The 19826-nt window shown below is 31.8% G+C and overlaps 1 protein-coding gene across 18 annotated transcripts in view; it reads right to left on the bottom strand.

Annotated features, from left to right (window-relative positions):
• The window catches only part of LRRIQ1 (leucine rich repeats and IQ motif containing 1), a 236455-nt gene that overhangs the window by 116451 nt on the left and 100178 nt on the right, over nt 1–19826 (bottom strand). For 16 of the 18 annotated variants that reach the window (XM_011538819.4, XM_024449222.2, XM_011538817.3 and 13 more), the window contains 5 exons: nt 18386–18505; nt 3986–4075; nt 3210–3331; nt 2597–2692; nt 2261–2343 (listed from right to left, as the gene is read on the bottom strand). In XM_011538819.4, coding sequence (XP_011537121.1) covers nt 2261–2343; nt 2597–2692; nt 3210–3331; nt 3986–4075; nt 18386–18505 — 511 coding nt within the window. Of the gene's footprint in view, nt 1–2260; nt 2344–2596; nt 2693–3209; nt 3332–3985; nt 4076–12041; nt 12078–18086; nt 18222–18385; nt 18506–19826 lie in introns of those variants that run through there. The other 2 variants (XR_944764.3, XM_011538824.3) reach the window with 2 other exon arrangements.

The raw sequence follows: 19826 nt of genomic DNA, 5'->3' as shown, positions 1-19826 counted from the left end.
TCTTTAATGTTTCTAATCTGTATATCTGTTGTGAATGAAAAATAGAATGAAAAAAGTGAGAAGAGTATAAAACTTATCACTAAATTTTACATTTCAGCGTTCATGTTTTAAACATAAAATGTTTTGTTTCATTATTCTAATATATTGATAAAAAAAGCAAAACAAAAGTGATACATAGAGATACAAAACCTTACACGGTAATAAGAATGCAATTTGGATTATAATCATGTTATTGGAGTAACAGTCCCCATAAATATTATACAATTGCCATTTAGGATTTTAACCTAACCCAAAATGTTAAGTTAAAGATGTGGTCATTAAGCTGGATGTCTGGTTACTTTCTTTCATTTGTTACCCTGTCATGCCCCCTTGTGACTGATAAAAGAGGTTTAATTTTTGCCTGATAATTATCTCTAGTCGTGGCCATTAAAGCAATGATTTTTATGTACTAGCATATATTCCTTACTGAATCCTCTGCTAAAACACTTGCTATGCTGCTTTATAAAAAATGTTCTCACCCCCAACAAAACCCTCAATTACAAGAGTTGGCAAGAAAGACCTATATATTTCCCAGAGACGGAATCATATGGGAAGTCTGACAAGCTAAGCTTTTCCTCTGCTTTCACTACTGGAGGCTATTTATTGCAAACATTACAAATACTTTTAAAAGTGGGCCTAGCAAAATTCCTTGAATACAACTATGTCATAATTATTTGTTGAATATTGGCTGAATCAGTTCTTAAACCACCTCTGATATTTGAACTTGCCCCAGGAGTTTCAGAAATTGTTATTATTCTCAAAACAGTTGTTTAAAGAATGTTTTTGATACTGCTGAAGATGGGTAGAAATAGACATCAAAGCAATAATAGAGTTTATTACACTACCAGATTTACACTACTAGATTCTATATCTAGAGAACTGAAAGAGAATCTCACTATCGTTAAGAGTCTGGAGTTACTATTTCACTGGGTAACCACCACATAGCATTCAGTTCAGAGAAGCCTGATGAACTTAATAGGAGCTTACAAAATGAGAGTGCAGGAGGTACAAACAAATTAAAAAGCAAGGTGTTTATATTTTCTTTAAAAATGCTTGAAATGTTAATGTTTTAAACCTGAAAAAATTTACTACTCAATAAAAATGTTATCACAAAAAAGTAAAAAAATTAAGATATCACTAACATAACAATAAGGTATGCAAGTTGAACACTTCAGAATATAAAAATGAATCACCAGTAACTTATCAATGGCTAGTCAGTGATGTGCCAATAAATATCAGTTATTCCTTGAAAATCAAAAGCACTTTTGCAACATTTACTTGTTTTAAAATGTTATATTTATATCTGGTTCTTAGAATTTACTGAATTATAATTAAAATATAATTAATAGAAAAAGATAAAAATAGTTTTATGAAATATTTTTTCATATGATTACATAAGCTAGATCTATAGGAAAAGTATACATTTATTGCACTGCTCATGAGTAACTGGTCTTTTTTGGAAACTTTTTACTAACAGTAAGAACTTTAGAAAACAAAACTGATGTACAAAAGAAATACATGTTCTTATATTTATATGAGTAAATATTTACAGTTATATATAAAGTTACATGCAATTATTTTAAATAGTTTTAATTAAAGATATCATAATATCCTGATATTTCTTCTCTGACTCCATATATTAAGTAATTACACTAAAATGATTAGAGGTATCCAAAGAAAAACAAATGATTTAAAGAGTAGCCTTGTAAGTGGGATAGAATAAAAGATGCTTTAGAACATTTCGCAAGTCCTACAAAATCATAAAATATATAAACTTTGCTTTTCCAAGATTCTAAGTTGTGAAGTCTTCATAGCTAAAATCCACTGAACTGATAAATTTATACAATTTATTGAATAATCAAGCAATTTAAAAGCACGCAAAAGACTAAGGAGTGAAACAGATACTCTTTAGAGTCAACATTTGCCAAAATGAACCAGTTTTAAAACAACTTATAATTCTCAGTACACAATAGCTAGAACAATCAATAGCAAAGTATATAAGAAAGAGCCGAAAAAGTAAAAATAGTGTTTAAGAGTATAAATCATTCAATGGCATAGCATAATTTTCTCTTAAGTTTTATTTTTTTTCAGAGTATCTTAGACATAGTCATCTGTGAATTGATTACTGTTCTTATTAAACATAATTTATAAAATATATTTTAAAGAAGTTATCTTCAATTTTCCATACACAGTTATTATTCAAAGAGCACTAATTACTCACCTATTTTTTTCTTTAGTTTCTTCGATTTCATTTTCTGTGCCCTCTTCAACATTTGCTGAGCAGTAGAAATATCCTTAAAGCCCCTATTAAAAGATTAAATATAATAAAGGTAAAACAAATACCCGGATCATATTTAGATATGCATATAAAAATAGACATGCATATCTGAATTATAGCATACTAAAATAAATGTGAATTCCCATTTAAGAAACTAAATTGGATGGACAATTTATAAAAAACTAATATAGGTATTCTTAAAATCTTGAAAAGTATCTGTCTTGGACTTTTAGCAATCTCTCAATTTTTTAATTTATTAGTGTCAAATTGACTACATACCATTCTTCTGAAATTTTTTTTTCTTTTTCAGATTTTAGCAAACTCTTTCTACTGGTCTTTGATTCAGGTGTCCAGGAAGAAGTTTTATTTTCTGATCTGGCAATAGAAAAAAACCACTTTTAACTGAATCAACACAAGTATATCAGCACTTTTTAAAACTACAAACTGTTTATGTTGTCTCAAACTTGGAAATAAAATCTAAGTTAGCAAAAAACATTATCTTGAAAGGCAATAAAAGTCTGCCATTAATTTAAAATGTTTACATTTCAATTACTTGAAGCATATTTCAATCCCTTTGTGAAAAGTAACATAGCACTGGAATTTTTAGTCTAATCATTATCTGTACCTATATAGTATTTAAAGATCCACTTGTTTACAATAATTAATTACATTGTTTCCCTGACATATAAATTTTGTAGTTGCTTTAATGTACCTACTTCATTCATTTTCCTTACACTGAAAACTCTTCATGACCATGATGTTTTTAACACTAAATATTCTGTTTCCTAAACAAGTAAATTCACATCTAGTTTTATAATTGTACTACTTTTGTATGATATGTAATACTGTTGTCATTCACAAGTTGATTCTCTAAAACAATAGTTTAGCTTACCTGCTATTAAATTGTGTGTGTTCTGAAGAAGACAAATTTTCTTTGTCATTACATAACCATGCTTGAGCTGGATTACTTGGTAAATTAAATGAAGTATCATCCCATTTTAAGTTTCCAGGAATCTTTTCACAAAAAAAGTAAATAAGTGTGAAGTAAAATAAAAAATCCTAGCATTTATGTTGTATTATTTTACATGCATATTACCAAATAGCCTCCTAAGGGAAACTCATTATAAAATTAAAATTATAATAAAATGAAATTTATGTAATATATTATACATGTCCTTTGTTGTAGTGGTGGAAATTATGCTTTTTGGGATAGCTCTCACATAGAAAATGATTAATTGCAAAGATCTTTAAAAATCTCAGAAAACTAAAACTTCAAAGATTATCAAATAAATAACAGATATTGCAGTCCATTGACCTCTGACTGAAAATCTTCAGCTGTTGCCCTCTTAATGCATATTTTTGTATTTTTAAAGTGCTGTCAACTAGTGATTTTAGTCTACTGCCAAATATGCAGCTGAAGCATATCATTTTTTTTCTTTTGCTACTGTGAAATAAAGTGTTGAAAGAAATCCAAAATAAAGAAAAAAAGGAGCAAATGAAAGAAAAGCTACATGAAAAATTACATCTGGGGATGAGGAGGAAGTCAGAGGCTTCTAAAAGTAATTATGTTTTTCAAGTCAATAAATTGTATTATTAATCACTGCAACATAGCATAACCTTAAGAAATGAGCAAAGATCGAGGACTCAGAAGTTTCCATGACATGTTACCTTTGGCCAATGCAGCTGGTTTGAAAGAAGCAGTGTTTGTGAAGGGAAGCGGGTGGAATCTAATGCTAGCCATTCTTCTTCTAAGGCAGCCTGCACAAATAATATTAAAATGTATGTAATTTAGCTTACATAACTTTTACAATGTTTCTTTTAATTCATCTTATAGACTACAAATGTTGACAAAGTATATCAGAATTTTTATTTACAGGAAATTTTCTACTTACTATTGTGAGATGATATTCATCTGTTTAATGAAAACATGCTAAAAATGGGATAAGACTTTTCATCCCTAAGTTTTGGATAAAGTGAAAACTTGATATTTGAATGCTCTAAAAAATGAGGTGCAGACTCTTCAGTGTATTTAACTGTTTATAACTATGACTCTGAGCCAAATCTAGATGGAACTGAGTAAAGTCATTTTTTTAGCTCTTACACTACAGACATCACTATTGAAAATTTATAGTATTTTAATATGTTAGTGTCAATTTTTCTATAAAGTCTATAAACCAGCTTTTTCTTAAATTTTTTTTATTTTCACAAATTTTCTGAATAGAGTAAAAAAACCACATTTTGTGGCAATGAATTAAACAATACAAGGAACATGGTCCCTGATTTATATTCTCTAATTCAACTGTTCAAAAAACAAAATTATAAATTTAAGCCCAAATTTGGAAATTCCTGTTTTAAACTCCCTCTCTTAAGACATATTTCTCCAATTTATGGAATTTCCAAATTTACTCTATCTTTCCACAATGGAACCTGCTAATTATATTAGTGTTGTATAATTTAGGATGTAATTATCTGATTTTTACTTGATTGAATATATAATATGGCTTAGAATTAATTTCTATGTTTCTGTAATTTTTTGGGGGAAAAAAGATGCTTAGAATACCAATTTTTTTTAAAAAAGGTTGTAAAATAATCAAACATTTTATGATTTAAAACTAGAATAATTTATTCTGAGGGGATGTAAATGCAATTTTTCATTCACACAATTACAGTGTGTCTTGACTGCCTTTTGAAAGACCATTGGAAAGGCAGGCCTAGGACATATTGACTACAGGCAGGTAGTGCAATGACAGAATTTCACTTAATGAAATTTAGTCTTAGGATACCTAACCAAACTTGCACCATTTGAATGTTATGTAAATAGTGTGCCTCTATTCAGTTGCTAGACAGATCAATTGTTAAATTTCTTCTAGGTAGCGAATATTAACATATACATATATATATATATCATAGTTATATATGGTTTAATATATATTTGGTTGAAGAATTGCTATTTGTCAGTTATATGAGAGGAATAAATTCAAGAGCTCTTTTGCACAACATGGTGACTATAGTTAATAACAATATAGTATATTCTTGAAAATCATTAAGAGAATACATTTTAAGCATTCTCACCACAAAAAAAATGTTAACTATGTGAGGTAACGCACATGTTAATAAGCTCAATTTAGCCTTTCCACAATGTATACATATTTCAAAATCTCATGTTTTACACAATAAACATATACAATTTTTATTTGTCAATTAAAAATTCAAATTTCAGTATTTGTAAATAATTCAATATTTGTTAAAAAAAATGCGTTATTGGAAAAAGAGAGAGGCAGAGAGAGACAAAGCTCTCTCACCAGAGCCATGAGTATTCCTCCTTCTCATCCTCACAGAAAGAAAAGGGTTGAAAATGGCAATCTAGAAACAATGGCTACAGTTCAAGGAGACTCTAAAATAAAAGGAAACACATATGCTTTGGTACTTTTGGAAAATTACAGAAAAAAAAGATACGGCCATTTATTTCTAATGTATTTAAGCCATTTATGTTGATTGCTTGTTAAATCAGGCTAGTAACTCAGTAAACTCCCACTGATTTATACAATCAGAATTCTCTCTTTAGCTCATCATGAATGACAAATAAATCTAATGACTTTTCTGTTAAAATAAGGTGGGGATGGAAATTTTTATTTGATGTAAAATTGTAAACAGGATTTAGAACTTAGAGTTTTTTTGTTTTTTCTTTTCAATGACAAGGGAAAATCCAGTCATATCTCAGGGAAGATCAAGGGCCAGTATATCAGCTATAATTGAATTAGTATTTTTATTCTGCTGAAAACTGCTAAATTGATGAGAAAATGTGAAGGAGACAATATTACAAAGGCAACATGCCACCTGAGGAGTGGTTATGGAAAACGACCAGCACTGTCAGGCAAGTTGCCTGACTCTTACACTGATTTTATACAAACAGCCTTTTTAAAATTTTTGTTTTCTTAAACACCTGCCAAACCATCTACTTTTTATATTCTCTAGAAATCCAGCTGTTTTCTCTCTTCAGCAGGACAAGATCCCACAAAGCACAATAAACTTCTTTGCCACATCATAGAGATGTTGATAGAGTGCTCTTCCTTGGAAAGGCTACATAAAGTCTGGATAAAATTGACATTTTCTAATTAATATTTAAAAGTACAGAAAACTTTGAAAATACCTTTTTTTCCTGAATAGAAAGTTTATAGAAACTTTTATAGAATCCCAGAACAATTATTTAACTACTATCTCTTAGAAATTTCTAGAAGCATAAAGAGAAGGTTTTATATAAAATGTTAAAGATGCTTTTGGTAATTATATAATCGCAACAAAAATATGTTACCAAGACAACGAATTTATATGTACTCAAGCTTATTAATATCAAATAGATTTGGCATTACCTAGTATGCTGAGGGAAATAAAATCTCAAAATGTCAGGAGGAATTGGCTAGGAGTTATAAATATACCACTGTTTTTTAAAATGTATGTTAATATATCATGCTTACCACTGCAAATTTATACAAATTTCAGTTGTTGCTTAATAAAGCCTTCTACTCACATAGACCAATGGAACAGAACAGAGACCTCAGAAATAACACCACACATCTACAACCATCTGATTTTCAGCAAACCTGACAAAAATAAGCAATGGGAAAAAGATCTCCTGTTCAATAAATGGTGCTGAGAAAACTGGCTAGCCATATGCAGAAAACTGAAACTGGACAACTTCCTTACACCTTATACAAAAACTAACTCAAGCTGGATTAAAGACGTAAATGTGAAACCTCGAATCATAAAAACCCTAGAAGAAAACCTAGGTAATACCATTCAGGACACAGGCATAGGCAAAGACTTCATGACGATAATGCCAAAAGCAATTGCAATAAAAGCCAAAATTCACAAACGGGATCTAATTAAATTAAAGAGCTTCTGCTCAGCAAAAGAAACTATCATCAGAGTGAACAGGCAACCTACAGAATGGCAGAAAATTTTTGCAACTTTCCCATTTGACAAAAGTCTAATATCCAGAAGTTACTAGGAACTCAAACAAATTTACAAGAAAAAAACAAATAACCCCATCAAAAAGCGAGCAAAGGACATAAACAGACACTTCTCAAAAGAAGACATTTACATGGCCAACAAACATATAAAAAAAAGTTCAACATTACCGATCATTAGAGAAATGCAAATCAAAACCACAATGAGATACTATCTCACACCAGTCAGAATGACAATTATTAAAATGTAAAGAAACAACAGACGCTGGTGAGGCTGTGGAGAAATAGGAACACTTTTACACTGTTGGTGGTAATGTAATTTAGTTCAACCATTCTGGAAGACAGTATGGAGATTCATCAAGGATCCAGAACCAGAAATACCATTTGACCCAGCAATCTCATTACTAGGTATATACCCAAAGGAATATAAATCATTCTACTAAAAGACACATGCACACATATGTTTACTGCAGCACTATTTATAATAGCAAAGTCATGGAACCAATCCAAATGCCCATTAATGATAGACTAGATAAAGAAAAGATGGTACATATACACCACGGAATACTGCACAACCATAAAAAGGAATGAGATCATGTCCTTTGCAGGGACATGGGTGAAACTGGAAGCCATCATCCTCAGCAAACTAACATAGGAACAGAAAACCAAACACTGCATGTTCTCACTCATAAACGGGAGTTGAACAATGAGAACATATGGACACAGGGAGGGGAACAACACACATCAGGGCCTGTTGGTGGGTGGGGAGGCAAGGAGAGGGATCTGTGAGGACAGGTCAATAGGTGCAGTGAAACACCATGGGACACGTATACCTATGTAACAAATCTGCATGTTCTGCACTTGTATCCCAGAACTAAAAGTAAAATAAATAAATACATTTAAAAAAAAAAGAAAGCCTTCTGTTCAGATATTCTTTAAATTACAACCGAGGATCTGGAAAGCTTTCTAGCTACTTGAGAATTATTATCAAATGTACTTATTACTTATGTATTGAAAATGAAGTTGAACTTGGATAGATTTGTAACTGGCAATGGAGGCAGTGTTCATCTGGAGACATCACTTCTGGTTTTGGATTTGCAGCCTTTCTGATACAGCAATCAGGTACACTCCTATGGAAAAGCACCTATTGTCGTTCTATTTGATTCCTTTAGAAACTAAATGACTGGCACTTAGAGTTCTTGTGACTCACTGGCTTGATAATTCCCATTTTGGGTGGGACAACTTGAATTCAATGACCAACAAGGTGAGAAGGTCCCAAAAGGTTTCACTTGTAAAAAGAAAATGGTATACTCAAAAATGTGCCTCAGTAGCATTCGGTTTCTCATGAAAAAAAAAAAAAATAGCAGCTATCTATCTCAGGGAATACTCATCTCCACTTCACTGCCTGAACCAAATTTGATGTCTCACAGGGACCTCAATTCACCCAAGTTCGCTTAAATTCTTGAGCCTGGTTCAGTGATGGTTTGGCTAAGCTGAAAGCAAGCTGATTCTTGGACTGTTGCCAATGGCTTAACAGTTGGGTCTGCCACATGAAAAGCCAAAGACACCATGACTTGGGCCCTCAAACAGGGAAAACAAATCACAGCTGCCTATAGCCCTGTCTGTGTTATTCATACAGATGCCTATGGTAAGGGCCCATTCCCTAATAAGAATGACTGGAATCAAGTAACTGATTGGGTCTAACTTTATATCTAAGGTAGACCTACTTTTTATATCAGACTTGTGATTCCTGAAAAATTTTCTCATTTGTCTTATAGTGAAGGATGTCTCTCATCTCGTGGATTTTTGCCCCTTCCTGTTGGAAAATTGACTACACTACACCTTCAAATCTTTGCCACTGTTAATATCTTTTAGGTTATCCATCAGCTGGCTTTGGCCATACAAATGTGGCCTTTGAAATTAGTTGCCTAAGTTTTCAGTTTTCTGTACCATTTGATTGTGACAGTTGTGACACAAGCTAATCAACAATGAACTGATAGTCTGCGCCTACCTCTATCACCTCCTTCTATCGACACATCTATATAAAGCAATTTTATCAGTGAGCATGGCTCTCTCCCAAAAAATATCATATTCTTGCAGTCACTTCCTAGGCAATGATTAGGAAAAATGCATGGAAGGTAATATAGATCTATTTGGACAACTCAGGATTCTATCCTGACTATTCCTGGGTATGATGAGTATCTCTTTTCTCTAACAGCGAGTATAGGCCAGAATGATTAAACAAGGTACAGCCTGGCCAAAAGAAGAGTAAGAGTATTCAAACTAATCTTAGTTATGGTTTATAAAAGTGCACTTGTTCCTTGTTCCTGAACTTTCAAGATGAAAGGTCTAAGTGTTAATACAGAATGATTAGAAAAATGGTGAAGTTATAACTATTGAAATGTAACACCCTAATTTTGAGGGAGTAGGTGGAGAACAAAAAACCAGAATCTTTGAAAGGAATACCTTAAATCCTGGGAAGCATGAAAGAGGGAGATTTTTATCTTTTGAACTGCCCCTATAGCCTCCTTCAAAAACAAAAACAAAACTTCTGCAGGACTGTCCCAAACTGCTGCAAGCACCTTAAATTTAACTTACTAATGGACCTGCCATCCCCTTCCAAGGGGCTCTGAACAGAATTTCATAGTAATTTATCTTAAGTTTACTAAGAAATCCATCAAGACAGCAGGGCATGGCCCCAGATGTTGTACTTCCCTTGTGAAACAGATGTGGATATTTTCCCCATCCCCATCCTCAGTCATCCCATGGGGTGGACAATTACCACCTAGAAGGTGTGGTGGTCATAACATACTTTTAAGTGTTAAGTCAACAGCACTATAGCCCTAGAAAGCATTCAGTTCAGCTTCAACTCGCTGACCAGGGTTATTCTGGATGGCAGAATTGTCCTGTAATTCCTTCCTGAGGGAAAAGAAGGAGTCCAGCTATAGTTGGATTAAAGTCTCAAGCCTATTGGGAAGATCAATTTAAAAATTAAGGAGAAAACACCTGGACTATTGATAGTAACCTTAATTGCATGAACCATGAGGCAAATCTAATTGATTTTTGTCCCAGCCCCTGTCAGATTATTCAGGGTGGCCACTGGAATAGTATACTTATTAGAAAATTTCTCATGTAAAAACAAGGGATGGATATTTTTGGGATACAATTCTCCATGGATCTCTAACAATTCTGCATGACTTACGACAGATTTTGTTACAGACTATCTTTCCAAAGATGTTCATAAAACTAACAGAATGGGAAGGCAGAGACTGTGTTTCCCTTTGGAGTAGAGGGCAGAAATTTGTTTGCTGTCTGGTGTAATAAAGATAACAACTTTCTGTGGAGCACAGGATGGGCAGGGTTGCTAACAGCCGTTTAGAAGACATGGGATATCCTAGGCTCAAGACTACTAGGAAGACATTCTTCAGATTTCCTCCTATGGAACTTGGGGGAAAAGGAGAATTGGTACATGAAGCTCTTGCTGCCTGCTGTTACAGGTAATAACTGTATTTGTCTCTTGAAGTTTCATTCCTTCTATCAGCATCCTAACTTGTTAGAGTTCATGTAGGATAAAATCTCAGATCCCTCATAGTTCTTGGCACTTAATAAATTAGGGTAAACTATACTTAACAAAACTAAAATAAAATGACTCTTGGTTGTAAGTGTTCGTGGTTAATCACTTGTTAAATGAAATCACATTTCAGAGAGGCAACAAATCAATCTAAGGAAATATTTCATGGACAGTTGATCTAGGCTTTTGGATCCTGGCTAATTTATCATGATAATTTTATATTTACTCCTCTTATAAAAATTATAATTAACTGAAAACATTCTAATATATTTCTGATATTCCCTAAACTTAGAGCTATGTTTTTTCTGTCTATTTACCTATCCTGGCACTAAGCATGGTGTCTGCCATATTGTAAGCATTGTTGGCAGGAAAGGAAAAAATAAGTTTGAGAAGATTTTATATAATTACATAAGGATATGTCTTAAAAATCCAGAAGTTTTAATCCTAAAGGCAACTATTTTTTTCAACTAAATCAGTGAAAAAAGGGAAATCCTCGTCAGGTAAGTTTTGTATACAGAAAAATTTAAGCAAGAAAAAAGAAAACAAAAAAACAAAAAACAAAAACAAACAAACAAAACAATTCAATTACATCATCTGAAGTTTTAAGATGATTTTAAAATAAAGTGATGGCAATGGAAAAGGGGTAAAGATAGGTCACATGAAGTAATCTCCGCATTGCAAACAAAATTATCCACTTAAAATATGAACAATATTTAACTCCCTTACTTGAAACCCAATAATAACATTCTATCACACTTGAAATAAAATCCAAAGTGCTTGACATCATATCCTAGGCCTAATGTGGACTGATCCCTGGCTACTTTTGTATTTCTTCTCTTCTCTATTTTTTCTCCTTTACTAATCAGTCTACCTATTGTAAACTTTCTCTTCCTTTATTACGCTGATTTCCTATTTCAAGCCTTACATACTTGCCTGACACTTAGCCCAAAATAGTATACTGTTTTGTTTATATGAAACTTATTCCCTCACTTTATTTTCACATCTCTAGTAAAGTGTTATACCTTACACAGGCCTTTCTTGATCAACCAATTAAACACTATGCTCTATATCTTAAACTTTCTTAATTTTTACAGTAATTTTCAATATCTTATTTTCTACTATATATTTATATATGTATTTATTGTCTGTTACCTCAAATAAAATGTAAATACTATGAAGTCAGGGATCTTATCTCTTTTCTTCACTGTGGTAAGAACAATGCCTAGAAGATTTAAAATGATTGTTTAGTACTGAAATACTCATTTATAAATATTTCAATTCTGGATTTGGAGACCATTATCCTAAGTGAACTAATGCAGGTTCAGAAAACCAAATACTGCATGTTCTCACTTATAAGTTGGAGCTAAACAATGAGTACACATGGACACGAAGAAGGGAACAACAGACACTGGGGCCTACTTGAGGGCGGAGGACAGGAGGAGGTGAGGATCAATAAACTAGTTGTCAGGTACCATGCTTACTACCTGGATGATGTGATAATCTGTACTTCAAACCCCACGACACGTAATTTACCTATATAGCAAAGCTGCACATGTACCCCTGAAACTAAAATTTAAAAATTTTAAAAAGATTTCAGTTCTGGCTCAATACAGGGACACACCTCTTGCTTCTTTAAGCTGACTAAAAAACAAAACATAAACACCTGATAGAAAGATATCTGCAAGTGATCCAGGTATTGCATTAAATTACAAAGGTTTGAAAATACCATACTTATTATGTTCAACAAAATAGTGGACATGATAGAAAATTTCAACATATAAATGGAATTTATAAAAAAGAATCAATTAGGAATTTTATAACTAAAAATAGAATAACAAAATAAGAATATAATAGGCTAAAAACATCATGAGTTAAAGTAGGGAGCATGATTAATGAACACAAAGTAGGTCAGTAGGAAACATCCAAATTAAACCACGAACACTCCATGACATTTGTCTGAGCAATGATTTTAAAAATATGAACCTAAAAGCAAAGCAAAGATAGATAACAAAAGCAAAAAATAGACAAATGGAGTTACATCAAATTAAAAAGCTCCAGTGCAGCAAAGTAAACAACGAAGAAAATGAAGAGACAACCTACATAATGGGAGAACATATTTACAAATCATATATCTGATAAGAGGTTAATATCCAAAATATATAAGGAACTCAAACAACTCAATAACAAACAACAAATCAATCAACTGGAAATGAGCAAAGGACCTGAACAGACATTTCTTAAAAGAAGACATACAAGTGGCTAATAGGTATATGAAAAAATGCTTAACAGCTTTAGCCATCAGGGAAATGCAGATTAAAACCACAATGAGATATCACCTCACACATGTTAAAATAGCTATATCAAAAAGATAAAAGATAACATGTGCTGGTAAGGATGTGGACAAAAGGGAACCCTCACACACTGTTAGTGGAAAAGTAAATTAGTATAAGCCATTATGAAAAGCACTATGAAGGCTCTTCAAAAAAATTAAAAATAGAACTGTCATATGACCCAGCAATTCCACTACTAGGTATACCAAAAGGCAATAAAATCAGTATGTTGAAGAGATATCTGTATCGTTGTCTTCACTCTAGCATTATTCACAATAACCAAAATATGGAATGAAACTGTGTCCATCAATGGATACATGAACAAAGAAAATACACAATGGAAAATTATCCATCCATAAAAAAGATGGGAACTTGGTCATTTGCAACAACGTGAATGAACGAAGAGGATATTATGTTAAGTGAGATAAGCCAGGCACAGAAAGAGAATACCTCACGGTTTCACTCAGACAGGGAATCCAAAAAACTTAATATCACAGAAGTAGAGAGTATAATGGTGATTACTAGGGTTTAAGGTGGTCAGTGGGGGTGGTGGTGGCGGTTGCAGGAGATCTTGGTCACAGCATACAAAATTTCACTTAGAGAGGAGGAATAAGTTCAAAAGATCTGTTATGCAACATGATGGCTATAGCTAACAACAGATTGTGCTCTTGAAAAATGTTGAGAGCGAATGAAAGTATTCTCACTATAAAAATGTGTTAACTAATGCATATGCTAATTAGCTAGGTTTACATATTTCACAATGTATATATACTTCAAAACATCAAAGAACAAATATTTGAAATAAATTTGGACAAGAGATTTCCAAAACTAATGAAAGATATTTACCACAGATTCAAGAAGCTGTATGATCTCACCAACTCCAAGCAGGGCAATAAAGAAAATCATAGCCAGTTTGAAAAACAAAAATAGAAAATCAACCTTAAAAGTTACCTGGGGGATGGGATAGGAAGCCAATATCTTCAGAGAAGAAAAGTTAAGACTTAATACTGACTTTTCAACAGGAACTATGGAAGCCAGAAATGCTAACAAAATGGCATATTTAAAAATTGAAAGCCTAACTAGAATTCTATTCTTAGAGAAGATAAATATTTAGATAAATATTCCAAAATATTGAAAAAAGAAATAAATTTTCAAGCAATCAAAAACTGACTCCTACTAGAGAGTGTCTTTCAGGCAAAAGAAAATGATCCTAGATGGAAGCATGTTAATGGCAGGAAAGAATGAAGCACACGAAAAAATAAAACTCAATTAACTAGTGAATAAAGGGAAAAATAGAAAAACAAAAATACTTGATAAATGCAAAAGAGGGTAATAAAAAGGAAAAAATCAACATAGAACAAATAGAAAACAAATGAAAATTGTATAAACCAAATTATATTCTAAATTAAAATCAATTAAAACAGTCTAAATACTCTAATAAAAATAATGCCAGAATAAAATATAAAAATAAGCAGAACCCAACTATATGCAGTTATAAGATACATTTTAAATATAAAATCACAGTAAAGTTGAATGAGAATGGTTAGAAAGATATACGTTATGAAAACAGTAGCCAAAAAAAAAAAAAAAGCTGCTGTAGGTATAAAAATATCAAAGGAAATGGCCCTTAAGCAATTAGTTAAAGAGAGAAACTATTGTTCAAGAGGAAAATATTATTATAAGAGGTTCAGCGATACAATAATTCAACTAGCCTTAAAATGTGTATGCCCCAAAAACACAGCCCCGAAGTATGAGGCCAAATGTGACAGAAATAAAAGCCAATTTAGAGAAATCCACCAGCAGAGTAAGAGATTTTAGCACTCCTCTCTCAATACCTCATAGAATGCCCCTCCTGCAAATCACTTAGGATACAGAAGATTAAAGAAAAAAAACCATAAACTTAAAGTAAATGAGATTTTTAATAACAATATACTTACCTACAGAATACATACTCCTTTTATGTTCACATGAAACATTTCAAAAAATATAGTATATGCTGAGACAAAATTTTGAACAACAAAGAACATCAATCTTATATCAAACTCCCCTTGAAAACAGAAGCAGAGGAAACACTTCCCAACAAAATGTATAAGGCCAACATAATACGATACTAAAACCTGAAGAGGGAGCTGTATAAGAAATAGAATTTACATAGTGAATTTCTTTTTGAATAAAATGAGAAAATGCTAAATAAAATAATAGCAAATATAAGCTAGTAATAGGTAGAAAAAGATGATGCATTATAGCTAAGTTAGTTTATTCTAAGAATACAAGGTTTAATGTTTGAAAGTCAATGTTAGATGTATTAAGAAGTATTTGATAAAATCCAAATTGCATATAAAGTCACCATCATCATCATTATCAGTAGCAGCAGCAGCAGCATCTTAATCTCTAAGATTCTAAGGAAGTTAACTTCCTTAAACCATACAGAGTTTCTCTAAGAAACCTATAGGAAACATCTTACTTAGTGGTGAAATATTGAAAGCTTTCACCCTGAGACAAAGAACTAGAAAAAGACGCTTGCTAATATCATCACTATTTAACATTATAATGGAAGCAGTAATCAGGATAATAAGGCAAGAAAAATAAATAACAGGTATAAGAACTGGAAAAAAAGAGAAAACTGTCATTCTCAGGTGATATGATTGTGTATACAGTATATTCAAAATATTTGACAGATAATCTATTAAAATTAATGGGTGATTTCAGCAAAGTGGTTGAAGATGAGGTCAATATACAAAAATAAATTGTATTTCTATATATACTTAGGAACAAATCAACTAAAAATGTACAAGACCACTACGAACAAAATCTCCATGGTTTCTTGCTATTTCAGATATTCCAAAACGCTTTGAATATTTTATTATAGTCAGTACTAACACATCAGAAAGAAGAGAAACTGACTTCTTATTAATACAAGTCATTATGAAATAGTATTTTCCACATTGAGGTTTGTTGTGGAAAACTGAAGTGAGGAAAGCAGGCTTCGATTTACTCAATATTTTCAAAAACAAGGTAAATTAAATTCAGTTTTGAAAAACATTGGAGATAAATTTAGAATAGAAAGTAGCCAGAAAGATTTTGCATATAAGTGTATTTTAAAAGCATTTACATTGTTTTCATGATACCTAGTTTTTTTCATTACATAGAAGTAGAAACACAGTTTTTTTTCCTGAGAATAAATAGCTGACCTTACCAAGAATGTGAAGAAAGAAACAGTTCAATTTATTTGAGCATTTAAGATTTGAGAGAGTGCAAAATAATGGTAGATTTTACAATTATACTACCCAAATATCAACTAAAAATATTAATGCTGACATTTCTAGAAACGTGCTAATCAGCAGCATGTTCCAAAAAAGCAGTTTCCTAACCTAATAGATTAATGTTGAATTTTTAAGGGCTTCCTTTTGATTAAGGTATGATTATGCCTATGAAAATAATTCAGACGTGAGCAATAGTGTTCTGTCTCTACAACACCTTCATCTTCATAGTCTTATTGATAATATTTTCACAAATTCATAATTCATTATTGCAGTGTAATTTGGAGACTTTCAGTAAATTACGTTTGATAGAAAAAATTGAAAAGTTTATAAAATGGAGTTCAAGTCTCCTAGCTGAATTCTGAAAAATACCATACAATTGAATATCAAAATTCTCACTGACGTGTCACATATGTACACATGAAACCATAAGACTATATTTACCTCTTGCAGTTAGGGCACGTAGTGATATTACTTCCATTTCATTTTCCTATCAACACATTAAAGTTACCAGAAATAAATTAGACCAGTTATTGTGAGATGACATCTGGTAAGAGAACCTTGAAGCTCATTAAGATACAATAAATGTATTCTTACACATATCTTTGAATGATTTAGTAACAGAATGTCTACAGTTGATGCCCTTTTTGTTACATAGCATGGGTGTGCTGAAAAGATCTTTCCTATTCTGGGCCCTTTTTAAACCTGAAGCAGTATTCCCAAGAATGATCTATGCAGCCTCTAGAACCTAAAGAGGTTTACCAACTCATTCTTCTTAGTGGTGGAAACTACATGAAGCAACAATCCACCCCTTACTTTGGAAGTAATGCCAACATGTCCCAGTTTATTACAGTCCTAGAAATTCCATTGCTGTGATGAGTCACTGAATCTTCATAGGTTTCTCTCTCACCATCATATCCTTGTTCACTCCTCATGAGCCTTGGCTAAGTGCTGCAAAAAATTAACTAGAACTCCATTCACACATCTGCTACGTAAGACTACCATGATTACAATGATCAGAGTATAAACTTCATGGTCAGGTTTTAAAAAGATAAGGAGAACTTTGGAAAAATGATGGTCATATAGGTAGATGAAAGAAAATAAAGAGAAATTTGTATGTTTCATGTTTGTTTAACATAGGCTTTTTTTCTAGCATAAAAGATTTTAAGTGTTTTTAAATTATGGAATTACAGCATTTAAAAATTTCTGTTTTATATCATATGACCTTTACGGTTATATTAATTTATATCCCATCCACTTACAAAAAAGTTTTAAGGCAGGGGATTTATAACTGTGTAGCTAAGCCAAATGCAGTTTAGGATAATTTTATGTCCTGAGAAACTTCATCACCTTCCTGCAGTGATACATTGAGAAGAACACAATATCACCTCTGTTGTATTCTCACCAAAAATACATAACCTGAATACAATGAGAAGAGACTATGTAACAAACACAAATTCAGAGATATTCTACAAAATAATTTTTCAGTAGTCTTTAAAAGTATTAAATTTGTAAAATACAGAGAAAAGATGAGGAACTATTCTAGTTTAAAGGAGACTAAGGAAAAATGACAACTAAATGCAACTTATGATTCTGGATTAGATCTCAGACTAAATATAGGGCATTAGTAAGACTACTCACAAATTTGATAAGGTTGATTAGATCATAGTATTACATCAATGTTAATTCCCTAATTTTGATAACTGGAGAACATGGTTGAAGGGCACAAAGACGCTCTTGTAAGTATTTTGCTGCCACCTTTGCACACTATACAAGCTTGTAGGATAAAAGAAGATGATGTTAGGAAAAGTTTCTCAATGTTAGGAAAAAAGTCTGTAACAATATTAATAGGATAAACACCTTAGAAACTGGTTTATCTTCAAAATAGTACACTTAATGTATTTTAAGACCAATATTTATATACTATAGTTCGTACTTACTTCATCAAATATAAAATCCTCTAAATCTATTTCTCTGTATTCTTCATCGGATTCTTCATTCTTAATAGCCTCTAGAGCTGTTGTCAGTTTCTTTCGCAAAATAAAGCCCTTCCAAACTGCCTAAACAAAAATGTAAAGTATGTTATACAAAGTTATAGATCAAACCCTAAACCAGATTATCTGTGTTATCCCATTAGGAAGATAAAACATCTTAGACCTAAGTTTAATGACACAATAATCTGTTTTCTGAACTTTATGTGACACTTAAAACTGAAAGATAAATTAAACGACGACATGTGTCTAAAGTTCTGAATCTCAGGAGACTTTCCTTGTAGTAAGCAAAAAAGAATCTTTAAAACTCCCTCAACTGCACATGTAGGTCAACCAATCAATTATGTTACAATTCCTCCAGGACCCATTCTAAACTAAGAAGAAAGAGATACAAAGCAAAACCCATTTTGCTAATGTTCAAATGATTATGTATAAAATAAAGCACAATTAAGAAAACATCAACATATATAAATGGCCATATTATACAGGGAGTATTATGGCCTATAATGATGAATTAATTTCATTTTTAAATAAATTAAGCATAAAATAACAAAATTTAAAATATTCAGATTCCTCAGTAATCCTGGAGTAGGATGAGCTTTCCTAACTATAACTCCAAGTACAATGTAGCTTGTAAAAAATGGATATCTTTATATTTATAAATATAAAGAATATATTTATGCTCATGTGGAATGAGCTTCAGAATATACTGTGTAAAAACCAAGGGAGAAATAAGTGTTTTTTATGTTACTGTTTAGCTATGAAAAACTGTGTATAAATATATACATTACATTAACACATATTTTGAAGTATATATGTATATATATAAATTTTAAAAAGCTCGAATTATAAAATTAATTTTAAAAATGGTTACCTATAAAGGCATAAAACAGGGTAGAATGTATAGCAATAGAAGCCAGACTTCTCTAAATACATCTTGCTTGGATTTGACTTTCAAACTATGCACATGCTTAAGAGAACTGTGAAACAAATTAAGTAAATATGAAACAGAAAGAAATGCCTAAAATATAAAAAATGTTTCATGCTGTGGAATAACCATACAAGTTATTTAAAGTGACTTAAAATAGATTTATTTGGCTACCCCCAGGTGAAATATACTCAAAAGACAAATTTGGCCACAAAAGAGATTTTAAAATGGTTTTCAGTAATCATATTGTTAGTAATGAGATTGGTATTTTCATTCTGAAATATATATATATACAGAAAGAGAGAGAGAGCAAAGTGAAATATACAAAATGGTGAAACCCTCTATGACAATAGCAGTCACCCACAACCTTTGTTAACAGCCAGCCTAGGAAGCCAAACCATAATCTCTGAAGCAAATAACCCAGAATGCTAAGTGACAACCTCTGCAGCAATTAGCCAAGAA

This window comes from Homo sapiens, chromosome 12 (assembly GCF_000001405.40).
Source record: "Homo sapiens chromosome 12, GRCh38.p14 Primary Assembly".
NCBI lineage: Eukaryota > Metazoa > Chordata > Mammalia > Primates > Hominidae > Homo > Homo sapiens.
This window is presented reverse-complemented; position numbering and strand designations above follow the sequence as displayed.